At 38.2% G+C, this 11837-nt stretch overlaps 2 long non-coding RNA genes across 2 annotated transcripts in view; one reads left to right on the forward strand and one right to left on the reverse strand.

Moving 5' to 3' along the window:
- The window catches only part of LOC124909415 (uncharacterized), a 274299-nt gene that overhangs the window by 233133 nt on the left and 29329 nt on the right, over positions 1 to 11837 (reverse strand). The gene's annotated exons all lie outside the window — the stretch shown is intronic.
- LOC105374054 (uncharacterized) lies at positions 2090 to 6650 on the forward strand. Its single transcript, XR_924358.3, has 3 exons — positions 2090 to 2177; positions 5456 to 5581; positions 6526 to 6650. It is a non-coding gene; the product is annotated as an uncharacterized LOC105374054 (long non-coding RNA).

Here is an 11837-nt window from a genome sequence, read left to right on the forward strand (position 1 = left end):
TTGTTTTATGATAGGTCTGCTTTTTATTTTTTGTTAAATGGAGGTAGCAAGCAACTCCTTAAAAACTATGTATTGCTCTAAATATGCCAACGACTATCTTTGGTAGTAACTGTGTTCTTTTGATCTCTAGAGCACATAGTCTCTCAGGAATCCCAAATAGAAGAAAACACTTTTACTGGGTTTTTTTCCTTCCTATTCAGTATTTTCTTTGTTCAAATTCATTCCATTTGAAGATAGTAAATATGGTTTTATCTCCTGATATTCTCCCCAGTCAGGAATGTTTATTTTAGTTACAATGCAGCTCTCTAACCACTTACTTTATAGAAAGAATTTTAATAACAATGAAATGATTTAAGTAAATACCTCTGCTAGTTAACAAAAATTATTCCTTTACTAGCATCTGTAATTCCAAGCAAGAGTGTTATTTTTGGGGGGGGTATTGTTTGCTTATTTATTTATTTATTTATTTTATAAGATCAGCTTTTAAAAGACCTGTTTCTTAACCAGCTATTTCATGGGAGTATCACTTGACCTCTCTGTTGATTGGTTGTGTGACTGACCTTTTGCACTCAGAAAAAGAGTTAATTTCTGTCAAAGTGCTGTAAAGATGAACAACTTAGAGAAAACTGAGAGCAAGATGGCCAACTAGAAGCCTCTACTGATCATCCTCCCTGCAGGAACAGCAAATTGAACAACTATCCACAAAAAAGCACCTTCATAGGAACCAAAAATCAGGTGAGGAATCACAATATCTGGTTTTAACTTCATGTCACTGAAAGAGGCACTTAAGAGGGTAAGAAAGACAGTCTTGAGTTACTGATCCCCTCCCACATTCCCCATCAGCAGGTGCTTGGCACAGAGAAAGAATCTGTGTGCTTGGGGAAGGGACAGCACAGTGATTGTGGGACTTTGCATTGGAACTCAGGGATGCTCTGCTACAGCAGTACAAGTCAGAACTCAGCTGGCAGGAGCATTTAGACCAGCCCTAGCCAAAGGGGAATCATCAATCCCAGCAGTTGTAACCTGAGTTCCAGCAAGCCTCACTTACTGAGGGCTAAAGTGCTCTGAGGTTCTAAATAAACTTGAAAGGCAGTCTAGGCCATAAGGGCTGCAATTCCTAGGCAAGCCCTGGTGCTGTGCCGGGCTCAGAGCCAGTGGGCTTGAGGGGCATGCGACCCAGGGAAACATGAGCCAGGCCAGCCAAGTAAGTTCTTGTGCCACTTCTCCCCCAGCCCCAGGCAGTGCAGCTCCCAGCTTTGATAGAGACTCCTTCCTTGCACTCGAGGAAAGGAGAAAGAAGAGTAAAGAGGACTGGTTTTGCAACTTGGATAACAAATAGGGCACCAGGCAGAATCCTGGGGCACACATTCCAGGCTCTAAGTCCCAGACAATATTTCCAGACACACCCTGGGCCAAAAGGGAACCCACTCTCTTGAAGAGAAGGACCCAGTCTTGGCAGGATTTATTATCTACTGAATAACGAACCCTTGGTCCCTGAATAGTCAGCAGCGATAGCCAGTCAGTACTTGCTGTGGGCCCTGGGTAAGACTCAGAGATGTGCTGGCTTCAGGTGTGACCCAGCATCTTCCCAGCTATGGTAGCTATAAAGAGGGACTCCTTATGCTTGAGAAAAGGATAGTGCAGTGTAAAGGGAACTTTTCTTGCAGCCTAGATACCTGCTTGGCCACAGTAAGGTAGAACACCCAGCAGGCTCTTGGGGGTCCCTGATTTCAGGACTAGGCTCCTGGACAGCATTTCTGGACCCACTCTGGGCCAAGGCGAGCTCACTGCCCTGAAAGGACAGTCCCAGGCCTGGCAGCATTTACCATAGGCTGACTGAAGAGCCCTTGGCCCTTGAATAAACATCAGCAGCAGCCAGGCAGTATTTGCTGCAGGCCTGGGGTGGTAGTAGCCATGGCGAGAGGCTCCTCCTATTGTGGAATGGGAAGGGAAGAGTGGGAGGGATTTCGTCTTGTGACATTGTGTGCCCACTCAGACACTGTAGAACAGTGTTAGGTAGATTCCAGAGGTTTCTGACTCCAGGACCTTGCTCCCGGGTGGCATCCCTGGACCTGCCTAGGGCCTAAGAAAACTTGCCAACCTGAAGAGAAGGACACAGGGCTGGCTGGCTTTGCCACCTGCTGATTGTAGAGGCTGGGGACTTTCAGCAAACACAGGTAGTAGCCAGGGAGTGGTTATTGCAGGCCTTTGGTGAAACCCAGTGCTGTGCTGGCTTCAGGTCCGACCTAGTGCAGTCCCAGTGGTAGTGGCCATAGGGGTGCTTGTGTTACCCCTCTCCCAGCTTCAGGAAGCTCAGCGCAGGAGAGAGAGACTCCATTTATTAGGGAGAAAGTAAGGGAAGAGAAGGAGAATCTCTGCCTGGTAATCCAGAGAGTTCTTCCAGATCTAATCCACGACCACTAAGGTGATACCCCTATGAGTCTGCAAAAGCCACAGCTGATACTGGGCTTAAGATGCCCACTAATGCAGATAGGGCTGCAGTGACCAGAAACTTAGATCACAACACCCAAGACCCTTTAAACCTGGAAAGCTTTCTCAAGATGGATGGGTATAAACAACTCCAGACTGCAAAGACTACAATAAATACCTAACTCTTCAATATCCAGACACTAATGGACATCCACAAGCATCAAGACCATCCAGTAAAACATGACCTCACCAAACAAACTAAATAAGGCACCAGTGACCAATCTCAGAGAGACAGAGTTATATGACCTTTCGGATAGAGAATTCAAAATAGCCATTTTGAGGAACTCAATGAAATTCAAAATAACACAGAGAAGGAATCCAGAATCCTATCAGATAAAATTAACAAAGAGATGAAAATAATTAAAAAGAATCAAGCAGAAATTCTGGAGCTGTGAAATGGAACTGACATAATAGAGAATGCATCAGTCTCTTCCCAGCAGATTTGATCAAGCAGAAGAAAGAATTAGTGAGCTTGAAGACAGGTTATTTGAAAAATATACAGTCATTTGCAACAACATGAATGACACTAGAGGTCATTATGTTAAGTTAAATAAGCCAGGGAAAGAAAACCTTTGCATGTTCTCACTTATTTATGGGAGCTAAAATTTAAAACAATTAAACTTAGGGAGATAGAAAGTAGAATGATGGTTACCAGAGGCTGGGTAAGGTAGTAGGGGGTAGGGTAGGGGCGTGGGGATAGCTAATGGGTACAAAAACATAGTTAGATAGAATGAATAAGATCTAGTGTTTGATAGTACAACATGGTGACTACAGTCAGCAATAATTTATTGTACATTTAAAAATAACTAAAAGAGCTTAATTGGATTGTTTTAACACAAAGACAGGATCAAGTATTGAAGTGATGGATACCTCACTTACTCTGATGTGATTATTATGCATTGTATACCTGTATCAGAATATCTCAACTCCATAGATATATACACCTACTATATACCCACAAAAATAAAAAATAAAAAAATTTAAAAATGATGAACAGCATAATATATTGCATATTACTATACTGCTAATATGCCTTTCATAAATTGTACTGTAACACAAGATTTAAGAACCAATTTCAGAGTATAATACAGCAGAGTTAATTGAATGGTTGCACAGAATTTTGCTTTTCTTTATTTTTAAATTCTTCTTCGCTAACTAGCTTTGTCCAGTTTATGCTTAAGCAGAAGGCTGATAACCTAAAATTTTCTGATTAGAGAGAAGATTATAGGAAGTAGCATATGTTGAGTTCCTATTATATGCCATATTATAAATTTGTTTAATCTTCATAATAGCTCTGGGAAATAGGTATTATCATTTCCATTTTACAAACTTAGATTCAAAGCTCAGTCAACTTAATAATCTCCCCAAAGTTGCACAACACAAAAGCAGTGTGGTTGGTATTTGAATTCAGCTACGATAACCCCAATCACGACCTCTTTCACTAATACCATTCAGTTTCCTAGGAGAAGATGAGAAAATAATTTGATAAAGATACAGAATTTTAAAATTGTTATAGAACCTATGTATATACAGATTAGATTTTGATCTAATAAAGAACACTAGATTTTGAATAAACTTTATATGTAATAGAACATATTTGACTCAATTAGAAAATTAATGTCATTAAATATATATATATTTTACATACCTTTTGTATGGCAGGCAAAGGGCTAGTTACTTGATTTTCAACTGTAGCAAGGATATGATCTGCCTATAATATTCCTGGCAGTAGTCATTCAGGCTTAAATATTCCCAGATCTAAGCATCTGCCATCAAAACTCAGAAGATAAAAGCTGGACATTATATCTCTAAGATCTTGTTTAAATCTGAGTACTAATAGAAATAATAAATAAAACTAAGGCATCAGTTTTTTATTCTAGTGTAAGTCCTGAAAAAGCAAATAGTATGCTCTTTAGTTCATGATATTGTCTGAATTTGATGAACCCACCTATTCTTCCTTTTGGGGAGACAGAGTAGACATGAGGAACTAGAAGTCAATCTCATGAGTCTATGACTTAGTCCCTTCTCCATGTCATCTTCTTATCCAAATCGGGCAACTGCATCTAACAAGTGACAGAAAACACTCACAGAAGAGGTAGTCACCGAGTAAATCATTTAATCACTCCAAGCTTTGATTTCTTCAGTTAAAAAATATGAATCATGCATACTCTGCTCTGATTAAAATACAGATTCATCCTTAACATTAGAAACATGCTTAAGCTCCACAGCCCACTCCTCTCACTCCAATAATAGGAATGGTTTGGTATCAGTGTGCAGAGAGTCTCAACGAAGCCCACTGGGGATACAAAGTTTTGAAATTTTTAGACAAGTTTGTATTTCAGATTTGTTTCTAGACAATGGTAGGTAGTATTACATGGATGCTGAACCTTAAATAAGGATAATATCTGAATACTATTTTGCACCGAATTTACTGACTAGACATATGATTGATAATCTGAAATTTTTAAAGAGAATGTATCTATATTTTAATTACTATGAAAGATTTCATGAATTCTGATTCATATAAATAATATATACATAAAAACATTTAAAATTAAATGCCCAGAAAGGGAGCCAGTGCCCTCTTGTCAAAAGCTTTTTTTGCTCATAGAAATGCTGGCAGGATGGTATATAATTAATGCTGCAGGAATGCTGCCAGTAACAGGATACAGTGAAACGTTAGATACCATTAAACAATAATTGAACCTAAAGGCACAGGGTACAGAATACAACATTTCTGATTCAGCCCATTTGTCAAAAAATAATAACCAACATAATTTAATGAGTTCTTACACTGCCAAGAACTTTGCAAATATTTCTCATTTGTTCTTAGAAAAATGCGTACAAGGTGGATGTATTTTTCCTTTATCTCGGGTTAGGAAAGTGAAGCTTCTAAAGGTCAGGAAACATGTGCATATGAATGAAAAGAGTACTGCTAGATGTATATATGTCTGTTTTCTTCCAGAGCTTTGATGCATCTCCCCTGAATTTAGAAAATAGGATGCATGTTCCCTCCGGGATAGGGTCTATGTATAGCATGGCAACTTATACAGTTGTATTTAGTACGGATGGAGATGGAATTCTAACCAAGGTGAGCTTGACTCTAACTCCAAAGCTTTCTTAGTCATTGTTTCACTTTATGAAATAGTCATCCCTTTGCTACTCATTTACTTCTCTGTACTTCATATGTAATTCTCTATTCTTCACATATTCTATATTAATTTTTCCTTTCTTTCTCATTTTGTACTCTGATTTTCTTAATGATATAACTCCACATTTGTTACCCTATCAGTGGACGCTTTCCCAGAGGAAAAGTGCATCCTGTGTTTTTTGAGTCAGTGCAGTTATATCAAACTTCAGGCAGAAAACAAACATATACACATCGAGCAACATTCTTGTATCTGCAACCATATACCACTTTTTAGTTTACTGTATTTAGGCATTAAAAATTACTTTCTCTATTATATTGACAACGAGAGGCCACTGATTGTAAGACACATCATAATTTTGAGTCACTTAGAAAGAAAAACATAGAAGCAAATGAATTACAACATGATACTTTCTTATCATCAATGATAAGATGCAATTTAATTTCAGAAATATTAATTCATGAAGAAAATGTGTGTCTTAAAATTGAGGAAATATGGTATCTCTTATGTAGCTCTCATACATGCTATATTGGATAAGTATTATTTTAATGGATGTAACTTACACACACAACTCACTATTCATCCAATATTTATGTAATTCCATTTCTAGAATGTGTGCACAGGCAGGTTAGCCCCATGGTTGATCAATAGACTCTGGAACCACTCTGTTTGAGTTCAAAATGTGCCTCCAGCACTTCCTAGCTGTATGACCTTGGAAAATTTCTTAACATTTCAGTGGATCACATTCCTCATTTCTAAATTATTATTATTAATAATATTATATAATTCATAGGGCTATTGTGATGATTAAATGAATAAAACTGTGCCTTGTATATATTAAGTGTCTAAGTATTTACTATTAATATAGTTGTTATTATGATTACAGAGAACATGAAGACGTGAACTATATTGAAGTCCCTATGCAAATCTTCATAATGCCCAGGGGACTCTATCTCAACTTCAAGATGCAAACCTTTACAAGCATGCAGCTGTTCCAGACATCAATAATGCATGCACAGTTCATAATCATACCAGTTATGTAACCTGTCGTGCAAGCCACATCTTCCAAGGCATGTATCCCCAGAGGACAGACAAAGCTATGCACAGAGAACCTGCTGTTTCTTAAGTATTTCCACTTCCCATAAATTTACAATTAATATTAATCCTGATCTTGAAAATAAGCTGTGAACCAAAGCAAATCACCTTAAAAGCAGATTTTCATTAATGAGGAGATTTACTGTAAGTTTCTCAAAGCCTACCTTTCTTACTTGGCTTTTGTGAGAAATTGCAAATCTTTCCCTGGTGAGATCCATACCATGACTGCTGATACATGGTCGAGAGCACTTTTGTACTTAATTGGTGCAGAAATACAAGTAAAGGCAGAGCTGTGTTCACTTCCTCCTTCATTTCCTCTCTATTCCTTTTCTGTGATGTCACATACTGATACAGCATCTACACATAGCCATGTGTCTAACAAACATATCTGCTCAAGGCTTAGTCAATCTTTGACCTTCCTCCTTCCTCATGCATACCTTAAGCATTAATTTAAGGTCAAGCACATTTACAGGTTCCCCAGCATGCCCTTTTCCATCTTTTGCTCCTCTATCCTTTCTCATTGTCCTTGGTCAGACTTGCTTGAACTATGTTTCTCAGAAAGGCAGATACGCTTACCCATGGCTCTAGCAAAAATTCCTTTTTCATTTTTCCATGGGTGCTGCAGTTATTTTAAACTTTGGTAAAAATAAGTGTATCTAGCACCCTGTTGCCCAAAACATCTCAGATGGGCTAATGGAGTTTTATTATGGAGGAAAAAACCAAAGTCACATATAAAGTACACGTACAAATAAAAGCATAATCACATTCATTTCTTTTGTTTATTTTTCCTCTATTTACTCATTTTTATATAAAAAGATAATAGAGACAGCATTATACAGCAGAGACAAGTGTAACCTAACCCCATGTATATATATATATATATATATTTTTAAATTATACTTTAAGTTCTGGGATACATGTGCAGAACGTGCAGGTTTGTTACTTAGGTATACATGTGGCATGTTGGTTTGCTGCACCCATCAACCCGTCATCTAGGTTTTAAATTCCGGATGTGTTAGGTATTTGTCCTAATGCTCTCCCTCCCCTTGCTCCCCACCCCTGAACAGGCCCTGGTGTGTGATGTCCCCCTCCCTGTGTCCATGTGTTCTCGTTCAACTCCCACTTACGAGTGAGAGAATGTGATGTTGGTTTTCTGTTCCTGTGTCTAACCCCATATATTTTCATGGGGTTTCACGGGGTTACATTTATTCACAGAAACAGATAATAGATGTAAGTCAAGAACTATGGAATTGTCTAACTGTGAGTCTGTGTCCTAGCCCACTTGATACTTCTTATAAGAAGTACCCTTCTTCATAAGAGCCCTAATCACCCTAGAACACACAAAAATGATCTCATTTTTTTTAGTATTTTTCCATGATAGCCTACATAAAGGGCCATTTAACAAGGTGAGTCATAGTGCTGAACGTGCTAATGGTATATGCGGCCACAGACTTAATATTGTTATGTAAGGTCTCCCCAGTTGAGTTATCATACTAACATTTTTCTGTATAAAGTGGAGGAGTGAAAGTTATGACATTCATTGATAACTATCAAAGGCAACTAAGGCAGTCTGCGTTGTCAGCATGTTTTGTGGTCTAACCACTTCTAATTTTGCTTTTAAAAATTTCATCTACTTTTTCTTTGATATTTAGAATCCTCTGACCTAAGTTTTCCCACCTATCAATTTAGACAGCATGCTATGTATTCTGGTTTCTCTGAAATAATTTATGATCTCAGTTCTTAAAATTGTATGTAATATGGTTTGGCTGTATCCCCACCCAAATCTCATCTTGAAATGTAGTTATTATCCCTACATGTCGTTGCGGGGACCTGGTGGGAGGCAACTGAATCGTGGGGGCAGTTACCTCCATGATGTTCTCATGATAGTGAGTGAGTTCTCGTGAGATATGATGGTTTTATAAGGGGCTCTTACCCCACCTTCATTCTGCACGTTTTCCTGCCACCATGTGAAAAAGGATGTGTTTGCTTCCTCTTCTGACATGATTGTAAGTTTCCTGAGGCCTCGCAGCCAGCTAAACTGTGACTCATTTAAACCTCCTTCCTTTATAAATTACCCAGTCTTGGGTATGTCTTTATTAGCAGCATGAGGAATACAGTATGGATTAAATAAGCAACCATCAGACAAACATCAGGTGCACAGAAATGACTTTGGTCCTTAACCAACACAAGAAGTAAGTATTCTCTATTGGTCTTTGCATTTCCCATTTATTTCTCCTTTTTCTGCCCTTGAAATGTTTCTTACTCATGTCTTGTTGAAAATGTCAAAGTATAGCCATTTAGGGTAAGTATGGAATTCAGACAAGGAGCTCTGAGGAATATGATGCTGGTTCTGGTTTATACAAAAGACTTGGAAGCCCTTATATTTGCAGTAGGCCACTGAGGCATGGATCTCCTCATCCTGAATCCCTAGCATCTTTCAGTGATTTGAATATGGTTCTGACTGGCTAGCACTATATTAGTGAATCTCTGAAGAATGGGGCTCAAGAGAATTGATGTGCAGGGGTAGGTACAACACTGAAAATTGTCTACCACTTTTCTGGGGACTCATAGAAAATAAAACTATCCATTTATTCATCTTAGAAAATTAAGTATTATTTAACAAATGGCTGGGATGGGCCACTTCTGTCCTAAACACATGGAATATATACTTTATTATCATTACTTTTTAGTGTTTATTAGGTGCCAGGCACTGTTTTGAGTCCTTCATATTTAATAAATACTAAATAAAATAAAATTCCCATGCCAAAGGAATAATTATTTCCCTCTCTATCCTGCCCATGAATTTTCCCATCCAGGGGCTTTGAGATTGAGAAAATAGCTGGGTTTTCTCATTATTCTAGTTGAAAAAAGAGCAGAATTTATTTGGGCTCTCCAACTCTACAGTCACTCTTATCACTGGTTGGTCTATTTTATGCACAGTAATGTGTCACTTAACAACGGGGATGGAGAAATATGTCTTTAGAAGATTTCATCATTGTGTGAACATCAGAGTGTACTTATGCAAACCTAGACAGTACTTATGCAAACCTAGCCTATACCTAGGCTATATGGTATAGCCTATTGCTCCTAGGCTACAAACCTGCAGAGCATGTTACTGTACTGAATACAGCAGGCAATTGTATTAGGCAATACATTATGCAATTAACACAGTGGTAAATGTTTGTGAATCTAAACATATTTAAACATAGAAAATATATGGTAAAAATATGGTATTATAATCTTATGGGACCACCGTCATATATGGGGTCTATTCTTTACCAAAGCATCACTATGTGACATGTGACTGTATTTAATCTATTTCATTTTATTAAGTTTTAAACTTTTCCAAGTGAGCTATGTAGAAGCATCAAGGCAAAGACAGCACCATGGCAAAATCCTGAGATACCTGGAAGTTTGCCTTTTATTAGTCACAGCTCACATGCCACCTACATGGGGCCATTAGGAGATGAATATAACAAGCCAGAATGACACATCACATACATGCCTGGAGGCAGATATTTCCAAGAACACTTTTCTGCTCTCTTAAAAAAAAAACTGAATGAAGAAGAAAATAATTCTGTTCTGATTATTTATTTATTTTGCAAAAAATGTGTTAACATGGAATATTAACACACAACTCAAAAACTAGTCAAATGCAAAGTGGTTCAGAAAGGGTTTGCTCTGGTCTTTATCACCCTTTTTGCTGCAGAGCTTATCTTTTCTGAAAATTCGTGTTTAAAAAAATGAACAACCACAACAGAATGAGAGATGAGGATCTGGGAGCAGGGCATGAAGCTGGTGAGATGTGAATAAGAAATGTTGAACAACTCAGCAGGACCATTATCTATTTGTTTATTAAGTTTTCCAGTAGAGTAGATTGATCTGAAAATAACAGAACATTTATGAAGCATGAAGCGTTTCCTAAGCTTTCAATTAAAGTTAAATAAAACAAAATGTAGGATGTGTGTCCATTGTGGGAAATCTCATTAGGGCACTGGGCACCACAGTCAGGCGTGGCTTCCTTACCCTGTGCTGCTCCTTAGTTCAGTGTGCACCAGCTCAGATCACGCATCAAGTGTAAGCAATACAGCTCTTTGGGAACATGGGGTTGTAACATATCACTGTGATCTTTTAAGACAAAGGGCACCTTTGTGATCCCCACTTTGCATATGAATAAAATGAAGTACATCAACTAATTTTCCATAGGACCCATTGCAAACATCAGGAATAGGACATAAAGCTCAGAAAACAATGTTAATACTCTAAATAATTTGGTAACTCTGTGCTTGTATTTCTGTAGTTTTTTTTTTTTTCTTGCCTGGGGCATGAATTCAGAGAGGTTAGAAGAGAAAAGAACAGAGCTTTAAATGAGGAAGAAAGGGCAGAGCAAGTGAGAGAATGGAACAGACCAATGATGCATGTTCTGATAGCTCAATGCCAGGAAGCATTGAGCAGAGTGTGATGGGGTGTGGGAGAGGGAGCTGGCATGGGAGCCACACCCCTCCTCTTAAGATCCAGACAAAGGGAGAGTCACACAGTCTGTTAAACTCTGAGGTCTAAGAACAGTTAAATAAATGAGACCAAATTTAAGTAGCCTGCAAGACATCAAGAAAGACAACAACAGCGGCCAAAGCCAGCCTTATGATGGCTTTCTGTTCTTAGTTGTAAAGAATTTGTGTATATGTTTTAATTACAAAAATCTCAGTAAGATATAAAACAGGACTACTCAATTTTGGTGTCTGTTCATCAGCATCTGTTTTAAGAACGCATCTACTTGTCCGAGTTCTTTGAAAACATGAACTGCGTTGGAATCATTTGTAGGCCAAATTCCTCTTACACTTGGAGAAATACCAATTGTGGACAGTTTTCTCCGCTCTCTGAAAGGCCACTGGAACCCTACAGCCAATGGAAAAAAATTACATATGAAGAATGCATATTTATAACCTGAAATGGCTCCAAAAGAAAGACAGGGCCTGGTACAGAATAAAGCCTCATGTTTCCCATTTTTTTCCAATTTTTCCTAGTGTTAGGGAAAGATTTCACCTGTCATCTAAAGAAGGCATGAGCTCAAGAGTGGAATTTTAAAAATAATAAACACTTTAC

The sequence above is a fragment of the Homo sapiens genome, chromosome 3 (assembly GCF_000001405.40).
Source record: "Homo sapiens chromosome 3, GRCh38.p14 Primary Assembly".
Classification (NCBI taxonomy): domain Eukaryota; kingdom Metazoa; phylum Chordata; class Mammalia; order Primates; family Hominidae; genus Homo; species Homo sapiens.